This window comes from Homo sapiens, chromosome 2 (assembly GCF_000001405.40).
Source record: "Homo sapiens chromosome 2, GRCh38.p14 Primary Assembly".
Lineage (NCBI taxonomy): Eukaryota > Metazoa > Chordata > Mammalia > Primates > Hominidae > Homo > Homo sapiens.
This window is the reverse complement of record NC_000002.12, coordinates 110,672,941-110,699,996: the sequence shown is the minus strand read 5'-3', so window position 1 is coordinate 110,699,996 and position 27,056 is coordinate 110,672,941. Positions and strand designations below refer to the sequence as shown.

At 44.8% G+C, this 27,056-nt stretch overlaps 1 protein-coding gene and 1 long non-coding RNA gene across 6 annotated transcripts in view, besides 9 other annotated features; one reads left to right on the top strand and one right to left on the bottom strand.

Moving 5' to 3' along the window:
• Nucleotides 1-7,210: 7,210 nt before the first annotated feature.
• On the bottom strand, nucleotides 7,211-21,785 carry LOC105373554 (uncharacterized). 2 transcript variants are annotated; one of them, XR_007087178.1, is made up of 2 exons: nucleotides 17,988-21,785; nucleotides 7,211-7,478 (listed from the first exon to the last, which is right to left on the bottom strand). It is a non-coding gene; the product is annotated as an uncharacterized LOC105373554 (long non-coding RNA). The 2 variants fall into 2 exon arrangements; XR_923189.4 differs by having other exon boundaries at nucleotides 21,400-21,785.
• Nucleotides 9,971-10,265: a silencer, noted in NCBI's record as "tiled region #12654; HepG2 Repressive non-DNase unmatched - State 7:EnhWF". NCBI's record gives its function as "represses a minimal TATA promoter and a strong SV40 promoter by Sharpr-MPRA in HepG2 cells {active_cell/tissue: HepG2}" and the evidence as "EXISTENCE:reporter gene assay evidence [ECO:0000049][PMID:27701403]".
• Nucleotides 10,572-11,543: an enhancer, noted in NCBI's record as "OCT4-NANOG-H3K27ac-H3K4me1 hESC enhancer chr2:111446031-111447002 (GRCh37/hg19 assembly coordinates)". NCBI's record gives its function as "activates a minimal SCP1, AML or CMV promoter by ChIP-STARR-seq in naive H9 embryonic stem cells {active_cell/tissue: H9 hESC(naive)}" and the evidence as "EXISTENCE:reporter gene assay evidence [ECO:0000049][PMID:30033119]".
• Nucleotides 11,544-12,515: an enhancer, noted in NCBI's record as "OCT4-NANOG-H3K27ac-H3K4me1 hESC enhancer chr2:111445059-111446030 (GRCh37/hg19 assembly coordinates)". NCBI's record gives its function as "activates a minimal SCP1, AML or CMV promoter by ChIP-STARR-seq in naive and primed H9 embryonic stem cells {active_cell/tissue: H9 hESC(naive and primed)}" and the evidence as "EXISTENCE:reporter gene assay evidence [ECO:0000049][PMID:30033119]".
• Nucleotides 20,837-21,757: an enhancer, noted in NCBI's record as "H3K27ac hESC enhancer chr2:111435817-111436737 (GRCh37/hg19 assembly coordinates)". NCBI's record gives its function as "activates a minimal SCP1, AML or CMV promoter by ChIP-STARR-seq in primed H9 embryonic stem cells {active_cell/tissue: H9 hESC(primed)}" and the evidence as "EXISTENCE:reporter gene assay evidence [ECO:0000049][PMID:30033119]".
• Nucleotides 20,915-21,004: an enhancer, noted in NCBI's record as "active region_16373". NCBI's record gives its function as "activates an Ori minimal core promoter by ATAC-STARR-seq in GM12878 lymphoblastoid cells {active_cell/tissue: GM12878}" and the evidence as "EXISTENCE:reporter gene assay evidence [ECO:0000049][PMID:35858748]".
• Nucleotides 21,265-21,324: an enhancer, noted in NCBI's record as "active region_16372". NCBI's record gives its function as "activates an Ori minimal core promoter by ATAC-STARR-seq in GM12878 lymphoblastoid cells {active_cell/tissue: GM12878}" and the evidence as "EXISTENCE:reporter gene assay evidence [ECO:0000049][PMID:35858748]".
• Nucleotides 21,758-22,678: an enhancer, noted in NCBI's record as "H3K27ac hESC enhancer chr2:111434896-111435816 (GRCh37/hg19 assembly coordinates)". NCBI's record gives its function as "activates a minimal SCP1, AML or CMV promoter by ChIP-STARR-seq in primed H9 embryonic stem cells {active_cell/tissue: H9 hESC(primed)}" and the evidence as "EXISTENCE:reporter gene assay evidence [ECO:0000049][PMID:30033119]".
• Nucleotides 21,835-22,234: a silencer, noted in NCBI's record as "silent region_11864". NCBI's record gives its function as "represses an Ori minimal core promoter by ATAC-STARR-seq in GM12878 lymphoblastoid cells {active_cell/tissue: GM12878}" and the evidence as "EXISTENCE:reporter gene assay evidence [ECO:0000049][PMID:35858748]".
• BUB1 (BUB1 mitotic checkpoint serine/threonine kinase) overlaps nucleotides 21,934-27,056 on the top strand; it is a 40,536-nt gene continuing 35,413 nt past the window's right edge. For 3 of the 4 annotated variants that reach the window (NM_001278617.2, NM_004336.5, XM_047445616.1), the window contains exons 1-3: nucleotides 21,934-22,027; nucleotides 25,632-25,691; nucleotides 25,773-25,911. In NM_001278617.2, the coding sequence (NP_001265546.1) occupies nucleotides 22,002-22,027; nucleotides 25,632-25,691; nucleotides 25,773-25,911 (225 nt within the window). In that variant the 5' untranslated portion in view covers nucleotides 21,934-22,001. The remainder of the gene's footprint in view (nucleotides 22,028-25,631; nucleotides 25,692-25,772; nucleotides 25,912-27,056) is intronic. The other variant, NM_001278616.2, reaches the window with a different exon arrangement.
• Nucleotides 24,750-24,969: an enhancer, noted in NCBI's record as "active region_16371". NCBI's record gives its function as "activates an Ori minimal core promoter by ATAC-STARR-seq in GM12878 lymphoblastoid cells {active_cell/tissue: GM12878}" and the evidence as "EXISTENCE:reporter gene assay evidence [ECO:0000049][PMID:35858748]".

The window sequence follows — 27,056 nt, the reverse complement described above, 5'->3', positions numbered from 1 at the left end:
AGTTTTCCCTCACTTACTCCTCACTGCCCAATTCCCCTCACACACACGCCCACCCCATTTTCCACTTCCTGGCAATCCAGAAAAGATAGCTTATCTATTCAAGAGCTTCCCAAATTGGTGTTCTTGAGTTAGGAGAAGGAGAGGAATTCGTGATGGGGAGGACAACACTGCAAGGAGAAAGAGGAATGTATTCTCCGGAAAAAAGTCATTCCCTGAGCAAAACATTTGTATAACTTAAAGTTGCATAGTTGTTAACCAAGGAGCTCCTCAGGCCTTTAGTATGTTAACACGTTGGGGACTCTCCAAGATGGCAAATTAGTGGGCTCTGTTTCCTGGCTTAATTTCAATACATAGCCCCAGTAAAATCCCCAGGACACAACTAACTCTTCGTTCCCCCCATTGCTATCTGACTGGCTCCAGCCTGCTCAGAGCCCTCCATCTTCCAGTGGAAAAAGCACCACTGTCTTCATTGTCACCAGATCCAGCTGCTTTGTATTTGGAGGTAGTTTCCATCTTGCCTGACCATATTGTGTTTATACCCTTAGATAACTTCCCTCCTCCCCGAGTCAATTTAAATCTTTATCCCACCTCAAAAACAGCCCAGATTGACCCCTGGGAACATCCAGGAAAGCAATGAAGAGAGGGGTGAAATGCTCTAGGCCAAGAACTCCCAGCCTGCAGGCCTCAAAACCCTTGGAGGCTGCAGTTTTGGTCACATCCGTGAGTCTTTTTGAGAGTACGCTGCTCCTGATACTTGGACCGCTGCACTCCAAATGACCCCACAGCCAACCCCATGCTTTATGACAATGGCAGTGGAGGAGGAGAACAGACCACTTGATTCTCCTGATGGAGATTTTCTCTTTTCTCCCCATCAAGTCTGGATTTTCATCTCCAGGGTAACAAGGTACAGGAAGAGCAATCAATTGCTGCTGCAGCCAGTAATAACCAACCCAAGCCAGTTTATGGAAGCCCACAGGAAGCTTCTCTGAGCAGTATAGGTAAATCAATGTAGACCCACAACAGTGTTTTCCCCACTGGACCTGGTGATGCCACTTGGAGGGAAAACAGGTGGGCCCAGCCCGAACTCAAACACTGTCTGCCCTGAACCCTCAGCAATCCACACCTAAGTGGCTGAAGTCAGGGGACTTCATGCTGCTAATGTCAGGGGACTTCATGCTGCTCAGATCAGTGGCTCTCAAGTCGACCTCCACTCTGAACATGGCATTGGCAAGGGGTCTCTCTGCCAAATCGGCTCCTGCTGTATATTTGGGAGTCACACAGACACATCTACTACCTCTAGCGTCCCTCAAGAGTTTGCTGCTGCACAAATACAAAATCAAGTCGTCCTGGTTTCTCGGTGTCTTTCCTGATGCTGTTTTAGATGAGTAATGCCTGCTTGCTTTGCCTAGGCTCAGGGCACTGTGCTCCTAGGACTAGTGGCCACAACCTTGTCCTGCTGAAGGCCCGCAGGAAGCCCTTGGGACACGAGCACTTCCACTGTCTGGTGCTCTTGAACTGGTTATTTTAGGGAGATAGGGTGTGTCCAGCTATGGGCTGGTCTCTGTGGGGCTGTGACAATTCAAAGTGACAGTAAACGGACGCAGTGTTAAAAGGTTCTCTGTGCCAGGGGTGCCTGGTGGCAGAGGCTGAGATGGATGGGTCCCAACCCATCAGCCCTGCCTTACCTGTGCTCTCTAGCTACGCCCTCATCCATCTGAAGCATGTGGGTTGAAGGGGGAGGCAAGTAAGGCTATCCATGCACAAGGCTGCCCCACCCTGTGGTCTGTCAGTAGTGCATGTCTCTTTATTTTTATTTCTTTTTAAGCTCTGGGATACCTGTGCAGAATGTGCAGGTTTGTTACATAGGTATATATGTGCCATGGTGGTTTACTGCACCCATCAACCCGTCATCTAGGTTTTAAGCCCCGAATGCATAAGGTATTTCTCCTAATGCTATCCCTCCCCTTACCCCCACTCCCCGACAGGCCCCAGTGTGGATGTTCCCCTCCCTAGGTCCGTGTGTTCTCATTGTTCAACTCCCACTTATGAGCGAGAGCATGCAGTGATTGGTTTTCTGTTCCTGTGTTAGTTTGCTGAGAATGATGGTTTCCAGCTTCATCCATGTCCCTACAAAGGACATGAACTCATCCTTTTTTATGGCTGCATAGTATTCCATGGTGTATTTGTGCCACATTTTCTTAATCCAGTCTATCACTGATGGACATTTGGGTTGGTTCCAAGTCTTTGCTATTGTGAATAGTGCCACAGTAAACATACGTGTGCATGTGTCCTTATGGTAGCATGATTTATAATCCTTTGGGTATATACCCAGGAATGGGATTGCTGGGTCAAATGGTATTTCTAGTTCTAGATCCTTGAGGAATCGCCACACTGTCTTCCACAATGGTTGAACTAATTTACACTCCCATCAACGTGTAAAAGCATTCCTATTTCTCCACATCCTCTCCAGCATCTGTTTCCTGCTGTAGACACTCGAGGGAATCTCCTGGTGTGTGGGTTGCAAAAACTGTGAGAAAAGCGTAGTATCTGGGCTGGATAGTACCGTCCCTCATGGCACAGTCCCTCGTGGCTTCCCTTGGCTAGGGGAGGGAGTTCCCCAGCCCCTTGCGCTTCCCTGGTGAGGTAACGCCCCACCCTGCTTCTAATCACCCTCGGTGGGCTGCACCCACTGTCTAACCAGTCCCAGTGAGATGAACCAAGTACCTCAGTTGGAAATACAGAAATCACTCACCTTCTGCATTGGACTTGCTGGGAGCTGCAGACTGGAGCTGTTCCTATTCAGCCATCTTGCCAGATCCCCTTTATTTCTATTTCTATTTCTATTTCTTTTTTTCTTGCCCACTCTCTTGTCTCCTTTATCTGGCACTCCACTTGCCACAAAAGAACCATGCCTTCTCCACGCGATCCTAGTAGAAATATCTCTCAGTGTCTCACCTGCCCTAAACACATCGTCTTTTCAATATAAACATAGGAAAGAGAATCTCTCTTTCTCTTTCTGGGCTCCTGTACTCAAAGGCTCACGAATTCCACCATCTCCTTGAAACTAAGCAGAGCTGGGGCTAGGAGGAGACACAGTGCTGCAGTGCTAGTGGCATTGTTTAAAGCCCTGAGGTCCAGCTGAGTTGCAAGCCAGCTGATCCCTTGGGAAGTCTAGCTGTATGAATCAATAAATGTTCCATTTTTACTTCAAAGAAAAGAGTTGACAGAGGGAGAATGAAAGGAAACAGGCCCTTTATAACAGTACAACCATCACTATGTAGAGACTACAATCCTCTAAAGAAGTCCTGCCTTAGGGGGCCCAGTCTAGGGACCTTTTGCCACTCATCAATCCAGAGGGAGCTGACTGAGTGACAGCTCTCCAGTGGGAGCAGGGTTGGGGGTGCTGACTGGGACCACAGTGGGGGCCTGGCAGCATGATGAAGCAAGAAAGCAAAGCTGGGCTCTAGTACCAAATCCACGTCCTAGGAAGGAACTCCACTTCTGGGACTAATGGCAGAAGCTCAGACTAAGACGTAATACGTGTTTGTCCAGAGTTGACAGCAGACTCCAAACAAGTTATCAGAAATGTGGAAGTAGGAAAGTATAGTTGAAGATGATGAAGGATTAGGATGCTCCCCTACCCATAAATGCATCAAGACCCCGAAAGCAGAATCCAGGGAAGGGTACTTGGAAAGAATGGCAGCCACAAGCTCTGCTTCCAGGGACCACAGCTCTGGGTTAGGAATTAGAACAGGATTCTGGGTCCATAAAGGTAAGCATCTAAGAGCAAGAAAGGGTTCCATGCTTTGGAGAAAGACCTGGGAATGAGAAAGGATGCAATATAGAAACAGCAAGTGGAGACCAAAGCAGGAGTCCAGTTCTGAATCTGGCACCACTGGGAGAAGAGTGACTTGACTCTGCAAGTGGGGTCCAGTTCAGATAAAGAATGAGGGTGGTTCACTCCAAGAGCAGAGACACTTTGGAAATCGCATGCCAGGACCACTCAGGTCGGGTTTAAAATATGAGTTTGTCCGGGTCAGCCTTGCTCCTTTTAGCTGGCTTAACATACCCCCTCTCTGGCCAGCACACCACTGAGCTGCCAGCCCGACTCTGTCAATGACATCACTCAACAGAGCCTTCTTGACTTGCTCCCCAAATGCTCCTATGTCAGTTTAGTTCCCACCCCATTGCTGCTTCCTGGTTCCATCCCCTATCCTGAACAATTCAAGATTTGCTCTTTCCTCCATGAAGCCCTGGCCCCTTGGCTGCTTCCTTGACTTGGATCTTCTCTTCCATTTCTCTCTGCACCAAGTGTTTCCTGTGGTGACTAAACACACAGATGTGGGAGGTGTGATAATTAAAGAAAGAGGAAAGAAACACGAAGGGTGGCTTGATGGTTAACAAGGACAGGTTTATTTTAGAAAACAAACCTAGGAGGGGGTTTTGGCCAAGTTAGGTTAGAGCCCCACTTTCTTACAGGCTAAGAGTTTTTAAGGATTCAGGGTGGGAGAGTTTACTAGAGGCTTGGACTGTTTTTGTGTCTCTTTGTTGTGCTTGTTTGGGAGGGAGAGTTGTGTGTTTTCATAGACCTTTCTGCAACTGCAGGCAGACCCCCGAGTCTGCTTTTAGCTTCCCTATCTTAGTGGACTTGAAGGGAAAGGAATGTGCTTATTAAGGCCTACTGTTTTACTGGGGCCCATTGTATGACAGTGAAGTTTGGCAGTTACCCAAGAGAATTTCCCCCCACCTCCCTCTGTGCCCGAGCTGTTTTATCTGTGTTTTACCGTCTGCTCTTTCTGGCTGCTTGTAGTTAGAAGAGAAGTGATTCCCTTGAGATGCATGAGGCTAGAAAGGGAGCTAGAACTTAAAGCGGTGGTGTTTGTCCAAGATGACAGTGTTCCTGCTCTGTCAGGGGGATCAATGGGCCCAGACTTATCGGGGGGGGTGTTGGAAGGCAGAGAATGGGATGTAGCAGGGTCTGAAGAGTTCCTTCCACTATGCGGCCATTCTCCTGGCTTAGGGATTCCCGGGTACTGTTGGGAAGGGGAAACATTGAAGGAAGTAAGGTTTCTAAACTTGTCATCGGGATAGAACTAGGGAAATACTCTCTCCTGACTGATCTTTCTTGGTTATGTAGGCTGCCCTACAAATTTGTATACAGTTAAACACAAAGGATGCACAGGGAGTGGGTTCTGATAGCATATCTCTGATTTTTCCTAAGGAAGTGGTGCTCTTAGTAGTGAGTCTGAAGGAATAGTTTAGGTAGGATTATTTTCTGTGTTCCCTGCTGCCAAGGTGCTACCTGGAGGTTTTCTCTTTTGCTTGGAGACCTTTATTGCTGAGTTCTTCTCCACCCCACTCCCACTTTTCCTCTTCCTCTTGCTTCTAATTCTGCATTTGCTCAAAAAGTTTAATAACTATTAAAATGTTTACTCCGCCCTGTTTTTCATACTTCCTCCTTTACCCACCTCTGCCTTCTCCCAAGCAAACCAACCAGTGTTAAAATAATAATAATAATCTTTCTTATCTTCCTCCTAATCACATGGAAATGTGAATTTTTGACCTTTGTTTTTACAGTGTTGGGATTATTTTTTCACTTCCGCCTCTTGCTTTTCACATGTAATTGAACAGAGGAGAAGTGCTTCCAAGTCATTGCTGTAAACCAGACTCAATTTTTTAATGTGTAAAATATTTTGGGGTAAGAGTGTTTCAGAACTTCACTGCTGCCTGCTTGTTTGAGCGCACGCTTTGTTTCCCACATGGAGTCACTGCCCGGGGGTGGCAGAACACCCTTTGCACACCCCTCGCCTGCCATTGAGCTTCATTGCTTGGATTCTGTCCCTGGGAGAGGGCTGGCTGAGTTTGTTTTTGTTTGGTTTTGTAGATAGATACGGACATTACTTTCCAAAACAGCTGTAGCAATTGTCAATCCCAGCGGCAACATTTGGGAGTATAATTTTTTCCCAGATGGGACCATGAGCCTAGTTTTGCAGCACTTGGGTTGATGGGGCCTGATAAAAATGGGTTACACAAAAATGGCTCGTTCATTAGGATTTCACAGAAAACCCTAAAGGGCATCCAGAATGCCGTTTAAACCAACCCATACCAGCATTACCTTGGGAATAAGGCGTTAAGCACATTCTTGACCTATTCGTAGGTGGGAGGATCGCATTCATTCCACTCGCATAAGCAGCTAAATAAACTCACTATACAGTTAAACTTTACCCTTAAACAACTCTTATCATAACTTATAGCTATTTTTTTTTCTTTTTTTTTTTTTAGAGACAAGGTCTCACTCTGACACCCAGGCTGGAGTGCAGTGGTGTGTTCATAGCTCACTATAACCTCGACAGTGAGATCCTGAGCTCGAGTGATCGTCTCCCCTCAGCCTCCCAAAGTGATGGAATTATAGGCGTGAGCTACTGTACCCGGCCACTGTTGCTGTTTTGAAAGGGAGCCCTCCTCTCCCCTACCACATTCTATATTAAGAAATTCCAAATTAAATGAAGAGATAAAAAATTCAAGGTTAATAAGTTAGTAACTGTTCATGTAATGATAATGAAAATAAGAGTCAATGTTGTAAGAGGTGTATTAAACCGTATAAATTGTCCTGGCTGAAGTGTGGGGGGCGAGGGTACCCCATTGACTGATGTATATGTAAAATAAAGTCAAAACTCTTGTTAATGTCTCAAAGACAACTACGAACAGAGTTAGGGTTCATTGGCTCACTGCCTCAAGGGAGCCAGCATGCTATGGGAAGCACGTCTCCCTGAGAAAGCACTAGAAGGACTGGTTGTAGGATTCGGGTTTGTGTTAGGTCATTATATGGGCCAGGGTGTGGGGGTTCCGAGAAGCAGGCATTTGTTGTGGATTGGGTGCTGTCAGGAAGCAGGTATAAATTTGTGAGTGGCCTTGTTTCATGAGAACATTCTGTGAAGTTGTTTATGTTCAACAAGACACGACCGCAGCCTAGTGACAGGCCAACTCTTGACTGTGAGGAGTTGCATTTCTCTTTCTCCCATGGAAGAAATTGAGTTCATAGAGGACAGATGATTTGACCAGCAGACCTGCGTCCCCCTCAACAGCTGGGTAACTCCCATTAGGTGTCCTGCCCTGTCAGACCCTCTTCACCCACCTTGAATGGTTGGTGTCAAGAAAACAACTGGCACTTAGAAATTAGTCCCTAGAGGTAAGGGAAATATGGCCAAACTGAAGAGTTATTTGGGACCTGTATTCATTGGCTAGGGCCACCATAAGAAATTACCCCAAACTGAGGGGCTTAAACAACAAAAATTTCTTTTTTCACAGCTCTGGAGGCTGAAGTCTGAGCTCAAGGTGTTGACAGGGTGGCCTCCTTCTGAGGGCCATGAAGTAAGAGTGTGTTCCAGGCCTCTCTCCTTGGCTTGCAGGTGGCCATCTTCTCCTTGCCTCTCCACATTGTCTTCCCTCATACGTGCCTGTGTCCAGGTTTCCTTTTCCTGTAAGGACACGAGTCGTATTGAATTAGGGCCCACCCTAATCACCTCATTTTAACTTAATTACTTCTTTAAATACTCCATCTCCAAAATAAGGTTACATCCTGAGGTATTGGGGTTAGGACTTCAATATATATGAATTTGAGGGGAGGGACAAAATTTAGCCCATCAGAGGATCTACCTCTGTGAAGATGGAGGCTTCCCTCCCACCAGGAGCGAAACTGCAAGAAAAGCTCATAGAAATACAACAGGTCATTATTGTCAAGCGCGTCCGTGTGAAGAGACCACCAAAACAGGCTTTGTGTGACCAAGAAGGCTGTTGGGTACTAGTGGGCTGAATCTGAAAAGAGAGTCAGAGAAGGGAGATAGGAGAGGGGCAGCTTTACGGGACTGGGGTAGGCAGTGGAAAGTTACCAGTTAGAGGTGGTTATCTATTGTTCGCAGGGGAGAGGGTCACAAGGTGCATGGTGGAGAGATCGTAAGACTCATCGTCCAGAAGAACAATGTCATAAGGTCGACTGATCAGTTGGGGCAGGGCAGGAACAAGTCATAATGGTAGAATGTCATAAGGTGGGTTAATTAGTTAAGGCAGGTTTTTCGGCTGCTCCAGACTTCTTGGCTCCTGCAGGCCATCTGGACATATATGTGCAGGCCACAGGGGTTACAAATGGCTGAGCTTTGGCTCAGAGGCCTGACAATTATGCTTTCTGCAACTAATTCTTTTCTTTTTTGTTTTCGAATGCCATGAAAGTGCAGTGACCACACGAGAAACAAGATGGCACCCATGACTGGTGCATCTGGTAGTCATTCCAGCCTTGTCTCTGTTGGGCTTACAGGTAGGCCTGTTCTTTTTGTCATTCTTCTAAAAATGAGTCACAAGGAGGTTGTTCTTGGAAAGAACTAAAGAGGAATCACCAGTTAGTGACTGAAGCAGTTGAGGGTCAGTAGTCTGCAGTCTGCTAGAGTCACCCATTTATTTTCAGTGGTTTTTAAGTTTTCTTTTCAAAGTGACAGAGAACTATGCTAAGAACTTACTGCACGGTTACCTTGTTGGTTGCCTCCCCAGGACATACTCCCCATTTTACTTCCCAAAGCCCCTGATTTCCTTAGGTCATATGCCCATGTGATTCCGAGAAGCCTTTAGAGGAAGGCAAGAAACTTAACCAGTTTAGAGTGACACAGTGCATTTGAGACTGTGGAGAAAACAGATGAGACCAAGAACTGCTGTAACCGTTTTGCTACCATGAAGAAAATCGGCATAAGGGCAAAGTGAATAGAGATAGCAGAGTTGAGGGAACGGCAGACAAAGGGAGCTAGAGTCTCAATCAAACTGTACCTGAAACCCACCTACCTCTGGGCTTTTCAGTTAAATGAACCATTAAATTCACTTTATTGTTTAAACTAGCTTGACTTGAGTTTTTTGTTGACTGCAACTCAAAATATCTGGATAGATTTATTAGCCTCCCTGAAATGTTACCAGTGTTCTTCCAAGTATGTACCAATGACTATATCATGACATATTAATTAATGTCCAGGATGAGAGATACTGATGAAGATGTACCTTGAATTTTAGAAAAATGAAGGAGACTATCATGTGGGAATAAAGGAAGGAAAATAGATTTCTGTGGGATTTGAATTGATTTCAAATTTTCAATGTCATCAAAATCCTTACCAAGCCAACTGGGTCTAGGCAGGCATAGCATACGTTCAATAAACATAGTATATATTCGATGATATGGAAGCAACTAAAGAATGAGAAAATGCTGACAATGGCAGAAGCAGCTAGAATGCAAGTCTGCTTTGAAGCTTTTAAGTGACTACTATAGAAAATATTTAATGTGAATATAGAAAACAATCTCCACTGTTTCTTGGAGAGTTGATCTTCCTACCTCTTATTTCATTTGACCCCCAAATATGTGAACCAAATAACAAGTCCCTCCCACAATGCTGGTTGCAAAGTCCAAGTGGACACTGAGGTCCAAAGGTCAGAGATGATCAGAAAGATAAACTGGTCAAGGGAAGTTAATGGTTCAAATTGATTATCCATCAAGAAGTCAAAATGGGCAATAGGTCCAAAAACAGAAGCCCAAGAAGTCAGAAAACCAGAAGCCCAAAGGCCTATCCAAAAGAGAAGCAGAAATAGAGAAACATTGCCCAGTGAACCAAGTATCCCAGGGAAACAGCCCTGTGCAGACTAATGCAGCACATGAATTGCAAAGAGCAACAAATGCAAAGACAATCTCATATTCAAAAGCGTCATGTCATGCACTAATATGCAAAAGGAAGGGGACTGCAAAGATTAACCAATGAAAGATGAAAATTTCAGAATACTAGCAGCAGCAGTAATTGCAACAGCAGCAGCAGGCAAGGCAGAAAGTCCTGTCTAATAGAAAGGCAACTTACGTAAATGCTGACTGAGGCTGAGCAACCATTTTAAAGTAATGTACTTCATGTACGTCTGCTAACATTACTTCTGGATAAGACAACTCTCCGGCAGGGAAATTATAGACAGGAAGGCACAAAAGACTGGGATTGAAATGAACCAAGGCTATTACAACGTTGCCTCTAGTTACCTGTGGCTAGAAGCTTTTGTCATTCCCTGGAGGAAGAGAAATCAGCAGTTAAACATGAAGCACATCTGTGTAGTAGATATGATGATTAACCATATGAATGCCCAAACTAAGCATCTGATAAACTAGTCTACAGGTAACTTATAGTCTCACTTCAGTTTTCCTCGTTATGACTTTGCTTCCAAAAAGACAAGCTAAAGAATGTTATTTAGACTTTGATACACACACAAGAAGTATATTAGTGCCCAGCTGTATAAACATCTGTGAGGGGCCGGGTGTGGTGGCTCATGCCTATAATTCCAGCACTTTGAGAAGCCAAGGTGAGGGGATTGCTCAAGCCCAGGAGTTCAAGACCAGCCTGGCCAACACAGGGAGACCCCATCTCTACAAATAATTTAAAAATTAGTGGGGTATGGTGGTACCTGCTTGTGGTCCAAGCTACTTGGGAAGCTGAGGTAGGAGGATCACCTGAGCCTCAGAGGTCGAGGCTGCAATGAACCATGATCAAGCTACTGCACTCCAGCCTGGGCCACAGAGCAAGACTTCGTCTCAAAAAATAATAATAAAATAAACTTCCATCAGGACTATCCCTGAGATTGGATGTTTTTAAGTAAACAGGTCTGAGACTTGCTCACCTCTCTTTTTCCAGATTAGTAAGTGTCCAGCTCTTTGAAGGGCCAGAAGCCAATACAAGCTGAGCAAGAATGATGATTACTTTCCAACTTGGTAAGAGGACAAGGTTGCTGTCCTGAGAATATGATTTTATAAAAGTAGAGATGCTGTTAAAGCTCATGAAATTGTAAGCTTATGTTCAAACATGCAGATCACCTCTGTGGTATAATAAAAAAAAAAAAAAACTGCTGGTCATTTTCCTGGGTTCCTGGTTCAGAGCTTCAAAAACCCTTGGAATTTCCTGAGTCATAGGAGTGCCTTTGTTATGCTAATGAGGTGACCCCATCTGATGACTGGAGAAACACCATGATCCTTTGTCTCCCGCTGATTAGATAAACGACATGGATACAAGTGGGGTGGTTTTAAGGAGCGGGAAGTTTAATAGGCAAGAAAGAAGGAACACACTCCCCCATAGAGAGACAGAGGGAGAGGGGCTCCTAACAGAGAGAAAAACCCCTGTGTGGCAGAAAAGTCATCAGTTATATTGGGAGGCTGGAGGAGGTGGTGTCTTATTTGCCTAGGGCCCAGGGGATTGGTTTGACCAGGTGTATCATTTATGTAGCCCACAAAAAGCCTGGTCCTCCTACCCTAGCCTTTTAACATGCAAATGCAGGTCGCCATGATGTCCTGCACAGGTGGTGTTATCTGTAGGTGGCCATGACACTGTTGTACCCACTAGCGAGTTAAGAAAACGCCACACTTTGAGACGAATTAAGAGTCCTCTATTAAGCCGGCGGCCAAAGAGACAGCTAATGCTCAAAATTCTCTCGGCCACGAGGAAGGGGCTCGATTAACTTTTATACCTAGGTTTAGGAAGGGGAGGGGGACTCAAATGTAATAATTTTACAGAAGTAAAAACATGCAAGAATCAAAAGAAACAAAATGGTTACAGAGTGATAAACAACTTAAAAGACAAATGGTTACAAGAAGAGCAAGGGTACCAGGAGCAAGGTTCTAAATCTTTCATTATAATTAGATATAGGGTCTATGCCGGACACGAACTCAAGGTTTTATGTTGTCATCTCTCGGAGAAAAATCCTGGGAACTTCATACATTGTTGGTGTTAGTACCTTATCAGTTAATTGGGCTCCTTTGAAATGCTGAGGATCTGTTTACCCAGGCCAACTCCTTACGAAAGGGGGTTGGGTGAGGAGCCCTTAGTGTCTTGTAAATTAAGGGGTCAGTTGGAGTTTGTCCGGCCTTCCTAGCTAGAGAGAGTCTTATTTACATGAGAAGCAAGGCTAGGTGATTAAAGAGACAAGCAAGACAAAATTCAAAGTAACGAGTTAAAGTGAAAACAAGGTTAGGCATTTCAACACCTGGCACACATGGTGACAAAGAGAAGAGGGGAGGAATTGCCAATTGGATGGACCTAGTTTCTAATCGCTTCCATTTGCATATCAATACTTGCCGGCCTGGCTTTCCAAGCTGCTTTTCTATTAGGAAAGAAACGTTTTGGGAGTTGCTTTTATTAAAAGAAATTTCCACTGAGAACCCTCACCCTTTCTGCCTACCTAAAAATTATTTCTTAGTAAATCCTGTATTACCATGGTGGGGCCCCTAGACAGCTTCAGGATGGAAGCTGCTCAGCAGAAAGACCAAGCACCTGATAATAGTGTTGATTGAGGCTTTGAGCCCTGTGAGATCGGCTTGTTCTCCAGACCTCCAATATGCTGAAGACTGATTTCGATCAAGTAGCTAAGTATTTATTCAATCATGTTTATGTAATGAGACCTCAATAAAACCTCTGAACACCAAAGCTCAGTGGAGCTTTGTGGTTGGCGAACACATTGATGTGACAGCAGAGTGACATACCAAATTTCCCAGGGAGGGGGGCATGAAAGTTCCATGTCTAGGACCCTCCCAGACCTCATCTTAGATGTATTCTTTATAATAAAATTATAATAATAAGCTTAGGGCTTTCCTGAGCTCTGTGAGCCATTCTAGTGAATTAGTGAACCTGAGGGGGTCATGGAAACTCCCAATTTAGTGGCCAGTTGGTCAGAAGTGCAGGTGGCCTGAGAACCCCTGAACTTGCAGCTGGCATCTGAAGTAAGAGTAGTCTTACTGGGGACTATGCTCTTAAACCTGCAGAGTCTGATGCTAACTATGGGCAGTTAGTGTCAGAATTGAATTGCAGTACATCCAGGTGGAGTGGAAACAGAACACATTCTATCAGAATCAAGAAAGGGATTGGCCAGTCACCTCTCAAGAGCGATGTGGTCAGCTGTCACTGCCTACATGCCCAAACCACCAGCTTTAAGATAAATCTGGCCAGGGCCTAGTGGCAGGTGGCTCTCTTTCCTCAGAGCTCAACACTTCCCTGACATGTGATTTGATTTTTTTTTTTTTTTTTTTTTTGAGATGGAGTCTCAATCTGTCACCCAGGCTGGAGTGCAGTGGCGCGGTCTCAGCTAACTGCAACTTCCGCCTCCCGGATTGAAGCGATTCTCTTGCCTCAGCTTCCTGAGTAGCTGGGATTACAGGCGCCCAACACCACACCCAGCTAATTTTTGTATTTTTAGTAGAGACGGGGTTTCACTGTGTTGGCCAGGCTGATCTCAAACTCCTGACCTTGTGACCCGCCCGCCTTGGCCTCCCAAAGTGCTGGGATTACAAGCATGAGCCACCATGCCTGGCCACCTGACATATGATTTGAATGGTGATTCTTCCAGAGAAGCCAGAACTCCTCCCTTCTTTCCCAATAAAGGTGATTTGTTATGCTTAGAACTAAATGTGATTTAACTGTTGTAAGCATGTGTAAAATAAATTCCCAAATAAGAAAAAAATATATTTGTGGTCTCAGGGTGTTTTGGTTCTGAGGCCAGTTATGCAGTCTAACAGTTGTCCATCCTGACAGGCCATCTCTCTACTGAAAGTGAGCACAGAGCAATTCTTTCATGGAGGAAACAAATGATAAAGTAAGATTCATCATCAGTTAGCAGAAGAGATAGAAAAGACTTCGGAAAACATATAAAGGAAAAAGCACAAAATATAGATTAACCGACATCTCCTGAACTCTACAAAACATTTTAAATATATCCATTTTGGCAAACTTTCAAGATAAAAGCCTCTGTTTTTCAGGAATCCAAAGGAAAAATGGTGGGATCTGAAGAGACTATTCTCATCCATCCTATTTTGTGAGTAAGTCATAAGAGATCGAAAAGGTGACAGCAGCTGTGAAGAAGACAGGAAAACAACCTTTGTCTTCAATGCCTGAAGGCAGAGGAAGGCTTGGGAAAGCTGTTGGTCTCTGGCATTGCCCATAGAGATCATCCCACTAAACTAGGATTTAGGAGCCTAATTGGAGGGGATTGAGACTACAGATTTAGAATAATGCCCTTAAAGAAGAAAGTGACATGTTGCATGTGTGCTTTCAGTTCCAAGACTAAAGTTTGCTGCATCCAGTTTCCTAAGTATTAGGACAGTCTGCCCCAGAATCCAAGTCAGCACAACTTACACAGCAATGAAAAAATCCAAAGTTCAAGAACAGAAGCTAAGGAACCCTGTAGCTGACAAGAGGGAGGAAGTCTGAAGAAGTGCACAAAGTTAAGGTGGGCCAGTTTGGAGGAAATACAGGCAGCCATATATCAGTGCTCAGGATTCAAGGCTTAGCTTCTGAACAATCAAATTGCCTCCAATAGGAAAGGGAAAGAAATATGGCCTCTGGTCTCTATTACTGATACGGTTTGCATCTGTGTTCCCACCCAGATCTCATGTCAAATTGTAATCCCCAGTGTTGGAGGTGGGACCTGGTGGGAGGTGATTGGATCGTGGGGACGGATCCTTGGTGAATGGTTTAGCACCTCCCCTCGGTGCTGTTCTCATGATACAGTTCTTATGAGATCTGGCTGTTTGAAAGTGTGTAGCACCACCCCTCTCTCACTCTCTTCCTCCTGCTCCAGCCATGTAAGACATGCCTGCTGTCTCTTCAATTTCCACCGTGATTGTCAGTTTCCTGAGGGCCCCCCAGAAGCAGAAGCCACTCTGCTTCCTATACAGCCTGCAGAACCATGAGCCAATTAAACCTTTTCTTTATAAATTACCCAGTCTCACGTATTTCTTTATAGCAGTACAAGAATGGACTAATACGATTACCACACCTAGAATGGAATTAACATTTAGGGATCACTTGAGCCCTTCATATAAATACCAGGATGATGTGCTGAACTGCACAATCTATCAAAGATTACTGGGGAGGGTTCTTGAGGGAGTTGGGTTCCCATTCCCCTATCTCCCCTCCATCTTTCCTCCCAGTCTGCAGTGATACAGGGTAGACTCAGGGCTTTGGTTCCATAGATACCCTCCAAAATCACAACACACACACACACACACACACACACACACACACACACACACGAAAAATGTCTAAGATGGAGCTATACATCTCCTTTTCTGCATGTCGACTTTATTCTTAATATTCTATAGTCTCCTAAATCACTCCTTTGTTTTCTGAAACTATTCTAATTATAAATCTCCAACCTTATATAATGTTTCAGGGCACTATGTGCTAGCCACACATCTAGTACTACTACTTTGAATGTCTCTAAATTTCTCAGGGAAAAGAAGAGATACAAGTATCTGTGACTATTTGCTTAGATCAAATCTGCAGAACCTAGAGAAAATCATTTTCCTCTGTGAAACACAGCACTAACTTTGATATTATGTGGCAATCCAAGATATGTTAGGAATTAAGTGGAAAATCTTATGAGGTTACTGGATAGTGGAAGACAAAGGACCATTAAGAAGACAAAGGGACAGGTTTCTTCATTCATTTCACAGATCAGGAAGCTGATACCCAGATTGAGAGTTTAGATCCTTTGCCCCACTTACTGCTTCTTAGGAAAATCAAGGTTGGATCTTAGATACACTGATGTGGCCTGATTTTCCTTCTCCATTAAGTTTGGAATTATGATGTTGGAATCACAAGACCTTGAAAGCCCATATACAAATGCAGATATTTTATCTATTGGCCTTCATCATAGAGAAATTTATCAGAGTCATTTTTAGATAGATGGACATTTAGTATTAAAATTATAAGTGGAATTGGAGTTGGAAAGGAAGACAGACTTAACAGCTGCACATTTCTGCATCAGATGCAAGAAAGGCATATATTTAGACATAGCTGGATCTGCTGCTCTGAGCCAGACCAAAGCACACCTCTCCTCTCACACTCTGGGGTAGGTTTGAGGAGACAAGGCGACAGAAACACTAAAGCAAAAGTAAGAGGGAGGGACAAATTAATGAAGCAACAATTATCATTTAATAGACTTTCAGATATTCTATGCCAACTGCTGCACTCTCAGCTCAGGCCTGAGACAAAATGGCAGAGGAAGAAGATTAAAGAAGACAAGGGTGAGAACAGAGAAATCAGAGTGCTATCAGTGGCACGAGCTTCCAGTTGGTGAATTTTTTACAAATGAGCAACACATTTGCCCGCCCTTTGGTATTTTCTGCTTATATTGATACATATAAATTGCCAGTGTGTATTTCTTTGAGGTTTACAGATTTTCTTTATCAAAGTATCAAAATATTCAGAGGTTCTTCATTTATCCCTGGCATGTAGAGATAATGTGAAGCTCTTAGGAAACAAAAAAATCATTCTAGGCTTAGGAAGTGGAACCTGAAACTTCTTTCAATAAGCTTCTGAATCCTGTGAACCGTAGTTGTCTGTTCTTTCACGGGGCCTATTGTGTAGAAAAAAAAGGCCTGGTAACCCTCCCAACTCAACGTACTAAAACCAAAGTAGCAGCCTTCCCAGCACCAATGGCCTGTTTCTATTAATTCTCCTAGGCTCTCAAATTATCTTGGATTCTTTTCTTTTTCCTATATATTAAGGACATCATTGTGTTCTGAGAATTGGCCTTCCATGTGATCTGATTCTCTCCTTCATCTTCCATTCTCTCTGCCTGCAACACCAGTTCGAAGTTTGCAAATTACTTTTCTCTGCCTTTTCTGCCCATCTCTCTCCCTGTCTCCAGTAAATCCTGAACACTACCAGGTTCAGGATTGAGACTCTTTAGATTTTTATGTTAATTAGCCTAATAGGGATATTAAGATGAACACATTGTGTAGGCAGATCACTTTAATTCTTCCTCTAAGAATAATGGCAGAGGGGGACTGCCATAAGTGAGAATAAAGGAAAGCCATTGAGTAAGGCAGGACATTATTCCTAGGAAAATGTCAGTTTCTAATTACTGCTGACAATGCTAGTATTTTATTTCTATTACTCCTGGATATACCTGCGGTGATTGGCATTGGAGTTTGACAAGGGGTTAGTGTGCCTTTTTTAAGGGCAGTGTAGAAGAGTATCTCTAATACCTCACCCATAAACAAGTGTGGTGGGAGAGGAACCCCTAGTAACAGAAATGAAGGAGGGTAGACAGTCTCTATGGCTTTTAGAAAACAGGGTAGAGCTAAGTGTAACTATCATGAGGTCCTTATGATCACATGCTTATTTGCTTCAAAAAGACCATTAATTACTAAAGTGATGAAGTACAAACTTCTTAGTCGCATTCAAGATTTAACATCAAAACAGCAAACCAGTCTTTCGAAAAAGAACCTCTAATGCTCATGAATCCTCAAGAGTGATTTCCTTCTAAAATCTTGATTTACACGTGGAATGACCTCCCCAAGGCTCTGCCAGACCCATATCCATCCCCCCTCCCTTCAAGGCCCAATTCAAGCCCCACCTTCCCTATGAAGCTTTGTCTGACCAACAGGTCCGCATGACCTCTTCCTCCTCTGAATACCCCTAGCACAGGGGTCCCCAATCCCAGGCCATGGGCTAGTACCTGTTCATGGCCTGTTAGGAACTGGGCCGCACAGCAGAAGGTAATTGGCGGGTGACCGTCTGAGCTCAACTTTCTGTCGGATAAGCGGGGCATTAGATTCTCATAGGAGTGCAAACCCTATTGTGAACTGCCGCATGCGAGGGATCTAGGGTGCGAGCTCCTTATGAGAATCTAATGCCTGATGATCTGAGATGGAACATTTTCATCCTGAAACCATCCCACCCACTGCCCACCCCAACCCCTTGCCCCCACCCCCACCCCACCATGAAAAATTGTCTTCCATGAAACCTGTCCCTGGTGTCAAATAGGCTGGGGACTGCTGGCCTAGCAGATACAGTCTGAACTCATTTGGCTCTTAATATACATATATACCACCTTTAAACAATTCTTTATTTCTGTGTCCTCATTTCCCAGACTAAATCACTAACCCCTTCAGGACAGGCTCTGTTTGAGTTAGACAAGGTTATAATTTGCACCTAGCTCGTGATGGCTTCTCCATCAACATTTCCTGTTGATTACTGATTGAGCCACTATCAGAAGCAGATGAAAACTTGAGTTGATGGAACCAAAAGTGTCCTAGTTCCTGTGATGGTTAGCGGAATCCAGCGCTTATCTAAAGACCTCAGAGTTTATTACCCTTTGAGTAATAAACCCCACAAATTGGAGACTCAGGTAGATTCAAAGCCATCAACACACTGGAAGAAATTTCCGCACTCAGTGAGCGTCGGGATTTCCACAAGCTAAATTTTTGTTTAGGTTTTTGGTTTTTTGTTTTTCTTTTTTCTCTCTTTCTCTTTCTTTCTTTCTTCCTTTTCTTTCTTTCTTTCTTTCTTTCTTTCTTTCTTTCTTTCTTTCTCTCTCTCTCTCTCTCTCTCTCTCTTTCTGACAGAATCTCGCTCTGTCGCTCAGGCTGGAGTGAAGTGTTGCGATCGGCGCACTGCAACCTCTGCCTCCCGGGTTCAAGTGATTCTCCTGCCTCAGCCTCCTGAGTAGCTGGGATTATAGGCGCGTGCCACCACGCCCGGCTATTTTTTGTATTTTTAGTAGAGACGGGGTTTCACTATGTTGGTCAGGCTGGCCTCAAACTCCTGACCTCTTGACCCACCCGCCTCAGCCTCCCAAAGTGCTGGGATTACAGGCGTGAGCCACCGCGCATGTCTTTTTTCTTTTTTTGGGAGGGACTCCCTCTCTGTCGCTGGAGTGCAGTGGCACGATCTCAGCTCACTGTAACCTCTGCCTCCCTGGGTTCAAGCGATTCTCCTGCCTCAGCCTCCAGAATAGCTGGGATTACAGGCGCGCACCACCACACCCAGCTAATTTTTGTGTTTTTTAGTAGAGACAGGACCTGGCTAATTTTTGTATTTTTAGTAGAGACGGGGTTTCACTATGTTGGCCAGGCTGGCCTCCAACTCCTAGCCTCAGGTGATCTGTCCACCTCGGCCTCCCCAAGTGCTGGAATTACAGGCGTGAGCCACCGTGCCCAGCCTTATTTTTTTAGGTGTTTAACTCAAGAGGCCAAGGAAGCAGAAACATCCACCCAACCTCCTTCTAGCGTGAACAGCTCTTTATTCTGTATCGTCAAGTGGCTCTTGAAACACTTTTGAGATGTGGAGTAAAAAGTTATTAAAGACCAGGGGGCAGAGAAGACTAGGCTAACTCTTTCCCAGCTCACTCTTAAGAAACATCAGCGACAGAGGAGCCCCTGGAAGACAGCAACAAAGGCTCAGCTGAGGATGCTCCCCAGCATTCGAAGGCCACCTGGGCAGACCAGGAGAATGGAAGCTCTGAGGACAACAACTTTTCTGAAACCCAGAATGACAAAGACTCTGCAAGTGCCGGAGACGCTCCAGCTTCTGGAGCAGATATGGAAGAGCCCAAGTGTGCAGACGACCGTCAGCATATGCCAACAAGTCCTCTCCCGGCACCTGCGCAAAAAGCAATAGACACAAACCCTGAAGAGGCAGAAGAAATAAAACCTAGCGAGCTCAAGGAGGATTAGGATGCTGAAGAGCCTGACCTGATCTGTTGTGGCCTTTGTATTTCATGGTGGAAATCTCTAAGGGCAAGTGAAGGAGCCCTGAGAATATCCTCCAGGGAACAGACACCCTCTCCATAGCAGCCCCTGAGCCCACTGGGCTGAGCCCTCCATAGGCTGCTTTAATGAGGGAGGGGCTGAGGTGCCGGTCAGGCTACCACATGCAGGATTCCGAGGGCCATGCAGCGCGTTCTTGTCCGCAGTGCCACTTAAGCTCATTTGAGGGGATCCAGCCCTGCCCTCCATGTCCCCAGAAGACAACAGGGAGGGAGCTTCACCAGTTCAACATGAGCAGCCACCGGGGTTGATCATGAATCCCCGTTTCATGCCTCCTGGGAAAGGTGTGAGAAGGAGGGAGGCACCCCGAGGCTTCTTGCCACACAAGCAGCACCCGCAGCCCAGCATTGCACACCTGCGAGCACTCAGTAGGTCCTGGCATCAAGAAGGGGAAAGGCCAGGATCCAAGACCCGCTGGGATGTGCCCAGTCCCACGGACCCCCCAGCCTCCATGGAGCCCTCGGTGTCTGGGGTGGCCTCATGGCCCCGTTTCTCAAGATGAGGTTGGAGGCTTCTGTGTGTAGAGAGCACTGGCTTGGGCATCAGTGGTTCTGTGTCTGTGTCAGACACCAACAAGAAACCCTTGATATACATATTGTAGCAGGACGAGCCGCAGACAAAACTCCTGACACTGGATTAAAGAAGGAAGAAGTTTATTCGGCCGAGAGCGTTGGCAGACTCGCATCTTAAAAGCCGAGCTCCCCAAAAAAGAAATTCCTAGCCCTTTTAAGGGCTTACAACTTGAAGGGGGGGGTCCATGTGAAACGGTTGTGATAGATGGAGCAAGCGTGGGGAACGTGACTGGGGGCTACATGCATCGGCTAACAGAACAAAAAGTTTTACAGCGCTTTCTCATACAATGTCTGGAACTTACAGATAACACAAGTAGTTTTGGTCAGGGGTTAACATTATTATTATTATTTTAACCACCAAGGCCGGGTGGTGGCGCCAAGGTCGTCTAGCTATTTATCTTACTTCTGTTTCTTTCTAACTTTTTGCTGTCTCACTTTTCTCCTGTCTTATAAACTAGGGAAAAGGGGAGGTGGTGGAGAAGAAGCTGGGAGGGACAACAGGAGAAGTGGTGGTCTCATTCCATAGTATAAGCACATTTTTTCCAATAAGTCAACCTTAGCTTACTGTAACTTTTTCACTTTATAAACTTAGTATTTTAACTTTTCAAAAAACAAACAAACAAAAAACAAAAGAAACATCAGCCTATTACATATTTCCTCTTTAGACATCTGGACTCCTCTACAAAGAGGTGTCTATTTTTGATTTTATGGTGTCTAAGAACTTGGTCTCCCAGAGTGCCCTGTCCCCCAAAAGATGTTCAAAGCTGGCATTCTATAATCTACCCAAACTCTTCTGCTTTTGTGTTAATTACAGCTGGCTGCAGAGAGAGTCCAGTCCCGTGAGCCCCATCTTCCGCTTGAAGCTGTTTGACAGGTCCCCTGTGTGGCTCAGGGCCCAGCCTTTCAGATCAGTTCAATAAAACCCAGGGGTCTACTCCAAGGACACTAACCCATCACTTTCCAGTGCCTCGTATAATTACGCAGCCGACCCTAGAACGCCCTCCCCGCCTCCACGTCCCCTCTACATGAAGGCGCTAAGCCCAAAACTCCTCAGGTTTTTCCACAGGCCGTCGTCACTCCCTCTTTGCCACGGCGTTTGAGATTCTGGGCTAAGACTATTGGTTTCAGCATCTGGGATGTTTTCTCACAGCCGAGGACGCTGAATAGAAAACTGCCAGAAAGCGGGAGGGGTCCCCGGCAGCAGGTCCCGTTTTTTCTCCCCACCTGCCTCCCGGGTGCTGCGGCTTCCGCCACGACAGTCTCGACCCTGCACACGGATTTTTTTCCTCCGTTCCATGAACCAAACATAATGATTCTGGTTTACATATTTAAGCGAAGGGGAGAAGAAACGCGACTCTCAGGACCCAAGGGCTGAGGCAGGGTTTTTCTGTCTCAAAGACCTCCAGTTAAGACATTTTTCTCCTGCAAAGCCTTTCCTACAATGATGGCTTAATCGTGTAATTATGTAAACCAGTCACAACCTGGATAGCTAAAACAAAAAAACCAATTCCCTACGCCCGAGCCAAGCCTGCTCCCCCTCGCCGTGCCGCATCCCAAACACCCCGCGCTCGCTCAGCCAACGGCCAGGTTTCGGTTCAACCGAAAACCACGGGAAGTGGGAGGAGCTACTGGCTCAAGGGAGGGAGGTGGGACTTGACCTCCGAGCAACGGCCCCGGTGATTGGCCAACCTTCTGCCGCCGCCACCAATGGGCAGGCGCCCTGAAACGTTCGGCGAGCCGACTGCGGCTGCGCGGGGTATTCGAATCGGCGGCGGCTTCTAGTTTGCGGTTCAGGTTTGGCCGCTGCCGGCCAGCGTCCTCTGGCCATGGACACCCCGGAAAATGTCCTTCAGTAAGTGTCCGTCTGGTGGGGTGGGGAAGCCCAGGGGGCTGGGGCGCCTGGGGTTCGGGCCCGGCCCGCCCCAGACCTGCCTTCTTTTGCCCCCTTCGCCCCCTTCCTGGGTTTGGAATGTGTCCCACCCAGCAAGGCCGTGGGCTGCTTGAGAGCCGGGGAGGGCTCCGGCACCTTGGGTTCCGCTGAGGCCCGGCGCTTGTCCGCCCATCTGCGCCGCGGTGGCCGTTTGGAGCAATCTGGATAATTCGTTAGGCCCTCAGAGCTCTCGTTTATTCTTTGTAAGGAATCCCCTCCTGACAGTTCAACCTAACAAAAATCCTGAACCTTGTGTTTAGATTTTGTGATACGTTTTCAAAGTCACGTATTTAACAATTCGACTACAGTAGGGAACGAATTTAAAGTTGCTCTCCTATCCATAATCTCACTGCTATTTTTTAAAAGTCTTTGAATACAGGGTACTTTAAGAAAAAAAAATTGAAAAAAAATAGCTTTGCTCATTATTGAGTGATGTGTGCCAACCTGCTAACATCACTCACTTTTTACTTAAAGTTCCCACGCCTTTGTTTTATGACTTAGATGATTTACCCAGACTGTTACTTAAAGGCATTTAAAACAATTAAGTCATAGGTTCAGGAAGTAAAACTGGTCCGTTTTATCAGTTCTTTGCGATCAGAAGACCGAGATTGTTAAATGCAGTCAAAACAAAAATCCATTTGCTCTAAGACTTTTTCTGTAACCTTCAACCTAGCCAGCAAATTATTTTCTTTCAGAAGTCCCCCGCCCCTTTTTTAAAGGTAAAGCAGATATTCCTGGTCCTGTTTTGACTTACTAAAGATTAATGTGCTTTAATGAACTGGATGTTTTACTATTACAGTGCATTTAGGTCATTTTACTAGAGAAATGTGGTTGGTGTTAGAATATGAAATGTTTACCTTGGGCGAGCCTACTAGACATATTTTGGAAGAAAGGTTCTGAAATAGGGATTTGTCCCTCTGCTATAAGACATGAGAGACATTCAAACTTCAGAATTATTATTTTTTTTAGTTTTAAAAATAAGCAATGCGTTTATATGACTAAAAGAAGATTTAGAACAGTATTTACCGAGAACTCCTGTACCTGACTACTGTCCCACTCTGTCACATGTAACCGTTTTTCTAGTTTCTTTTTGGAAATATAAATATTTACATTATTATAATATATTAAATGTCTGCACGTTTGTATACATTTTTTGCCTTTACCACACATAAAATATAACAGTATATATATACGCTGCTCTTTTGCCTAACAATATCCCTGGAGATCTCTACCAATACATAAAGTTCTTTCTTATTCTTTTTTTACAGCTGTGTAATACTTCATGTACCCTAATTGATCTAAGCAGTCAACACAGGTTGTTGACAATCTGTTTCAAATAGTGGCACGGTGAAAAATCTTGTACATAACATTTTGCGGATACACATGTGTATGTGTCTTCTAGATCTGCAGAAGCGGTTTGTTGGATCAAAAGCAAATCAGTCCAGTTTTGGTAGATAATTCCCTTGGCAGGAATTGAGCACATGCCCACCTACAAGCAAGATGCGACAGAGAGCCTGTTTCTTATTGCTGCACCTACACAATCTTTTCACATGTTTTTTAGTTTTGCCAATCTGATGAGTGAAGAATTGTTTCTCAGCGAAGTGAATTTCTGTTATGAGAGACTGAACATTTTTCATGTTTGTGAGCCATGTATCTTTTTCTGTGAAATAATTTATTATGCCCTTTGCTCATTAAAAAAAAATAGGTTAATAGTTTTTTTCTCAGCTTCTAAAAGCTCATTGTTTTTCCAGTTTATCATTTCTCTTTTGACTATTTTGTGGTTTTTTTGTTTGTTTTGGTTATTTGCCATGGAGAAGTTTTTATTTATATATAGTTGTCTTTATTTAGCTTTTCTTTTGTGGCTTCTGGATTTTGAGTCATAAGAAACATTGATTTCATTCATATACCGAGGTGATAGCTAGAAGTAAATATTGCTTTTTAGGCAGGACATGGTGGCTCATGCCTGTAATTCTAACACTTTGGGAGACCAAGGTGAGAGAGTCACTTGAGGCCAGGAGTTCAAGACCAGCCTGCGAAATATAGTGATACCTCATCTCGGCAAAAAATAAAAAATTAGCCAGACATGGTGGCATGTGCCTGTAGCCTCAGCTACTCAGGAGGCTGAGGCAGGAGGATCTCTTGAACACAAGAGTTCGAGGTTACAGCGAGCCATGATTGCACTGTTGCACTCCAGCGTGGGCAACAGAGCAAGATTCCATCTCTAAAAAAATAAAAATAAAAATACATATTGCTTTTTACATCGTTTTTTCAAAAAAAAAAAAAATCTTATAGTGTCTCAGATAGAAAACCTCGGAGTCTTCCTGACTGGTTTCCCACTTCGATTCTCACCTCTACCTCCTTCACACAGAGGGACATTAAAATGCAAATTAGGTCTTGTCACCCCCACCTTTTCCTGCTCATCACACTTGAACCACACTGGCTTGCTTTCTGTTCTTGAAGTTCTCTCAGCCTTGACCATTTCCCCCTCAGATAGCTACGTGGCTGTCTGGCACTGATCACATGTCACCGCCTCTGAGAGGCAGGGCTTCCTTGACCAGCCTATCTAAAAATAGTAACTCATCACATTCTCACCCTTTCTCCTATTATATGTTATTTTGTTTGTTCTTCTGAGTACTTAATGTAACCTGACATTACTTTGCATGTTTCTTTTTGTTTAGCCCTTCTAGCTCTCCCCAAGGGGAATTTTGCTTTGCCTGGCTGCTTTTTTTCAGCTGTAGTTGAGTATATGGAAGTGGGGGATGCAGAGTTCTCTGGGAGCTCTGTGGCTGATTTCTGAGCACTGTTATCATCTGCTCTTCCTCAGGGACTTTGTTACTTTGAAGCAATGAAAACAAACTGTGTCTGGGAACTCTACTTTGTGGTACTCTGGGCTGCCTCACACCCGTTTACAATCCCTCTTTGACTCGTTCCAGCCGTGTCTCAGCCATGCTCCTGGGAAGCAAAGGCAGGTGTCTGAGTCAGTGCCATGCCTGGATCCCACTGGAAGGGCAGGTGTCTCAGTCAGTGCCATGCCTAGATCCCACTGGAAGGGCAGAGGTCTGAGTCAGTGCCATGCCTGGATCCCACTGGAAGGGCAGAGGTCTGAGTCAGTGCCATGCCTGGATCCTGCTGGAAGGGCAGGAGTCTGAGTCAGTGCCATGCTTGGATCCTCTTGTTAGGAGGAGGAGCAAACTTCTGGCAACTGCCCCTCATGGTGGTAGTGACATTGGGGTTCCGTGAGAGGAGAAGGAGACTCTTGGGGATAGAGCTGGGACTTATGGAAAAACACTGGCTGCTTCTGAGTTTTCTGACTATGTCTGAGCGAATGCTTCTTAAAATTTTAAATACTATTTGGATCGATATTTAAGATTTTCATTTTAATGCATATAAATGGTGTATATATAAAATGATTGATATTTAAGATTTTTGTTTTAATGCACATAAATGGTATATATAAAATGAAGTATATCTTTTGCTTGTAGAAATTATCCCTAATATCCCATGTGCATACCTTTCTCTCTTCTAGGATGCTTGAAGCCCACATGCAGAGCTACAAGGGCAATGACCCTCTTGGTGAATGGGAAAGGTCAGCATTTAGTTATTTTATTTCCCTTAAACAAACTATACACTGCCCCATGGAAAATTAACATTATCCATATTTTTCTAGATACATACAGTGGGTAGAAGAGAATTTTCCTGAGAATAAAGAATACTTGATAACTTTACTAGAACATTTAATGAAGGAATTTTTAGATAAGAAGAAATACCACAATGACCCAAGATTCATCAGTTATTGTTTAAAATTTGTAAGTATACTTAAGATGTATAATCAAATCTATAATCATGTTGTACTTTTGCTTTTTAAACTTAGATTGTAAGATCATTTTAGGCTTTTAATTCCTTGTTTCTAGTTCTGAAGATACAGAGAGGAAAATCTGTTCATTCTCTGATTCAACAGACTTCTGTGCCACTAGTGATTAAAAAGTATGTAGGGGCTGGGCGCAGTGGCTCACACCTGTAATCCCAGCACTTTGGGAGGCCAAGGCAGGTCGATCACTTTAGTTCAGGAGTTCGAGACCAGCCTGGCCAACGTGGTAAAATCCTGTCTCTACTAAAAATACAAAAATTAACTGGGCATGGTGGCAGGCACCTGTAATCCCAGCTACTCGGGGGGCTATGGCAGGAGAATTGCTCGAGCCTGGGAGGTGGAGGTTGCCATGAGCCGAGATCAGATCATGTCACTGCACTCCAGCCTGGGTGACAGAGTGAGACTCTGTCCCCACCCCCCGCTCCCCCACCAAAAAAAAAGTATGTGCGGACTTCTCTCTACCAGCAACCAGTCAATCAACTCTGTAGTTGTGTCTCCAATTCAATTCCAGCACTACCTGAAAATAACTTCAGATTCCACAGCTTAAGGGTTCTGTTCCACAAGACTGCCTCTCACTTACAATGCCAGTTGCAAGCCACAGGTTGTTTTACCTGTGCTTCTGCCTGACTGGCTACAAAGCAGAGTTCGCACAACCCTCTCCCTGGGTCTGAGTTCGATCAGTTTGCATGAGTGGCTCACAGAACTCAAGGAAACACCTACGGTTAATGTTTTATTATAAAGGATATTATTAAGAATACTGATGAACACCAGATGAAGAGATGTTTAGGGCAAGGTATTGGGGAAGGTGTGTGGAGCTTCCTTGCCCTTTCCAGGTGTGACACCCTCCAGGAACCTCCATGTATTTAGCTCTCCAGAAGCTTGTCTAAGCTCTATCGTTTTGGGTTTTTATGGAGGTGCCTTACACAGACATGATTGATTAAATCATTGGCCATTGGTGATTGGCTTAAACTTCAGTCCCTCTTCCCTCCCTGGAGGTTCAGCAGTGGGGCTGAAAAGTCCAACCCTCTAAACCTGCCTTGGTTTTGCTGATGACCAGCTCCCATCCGAAGCTACCTAGGGGCT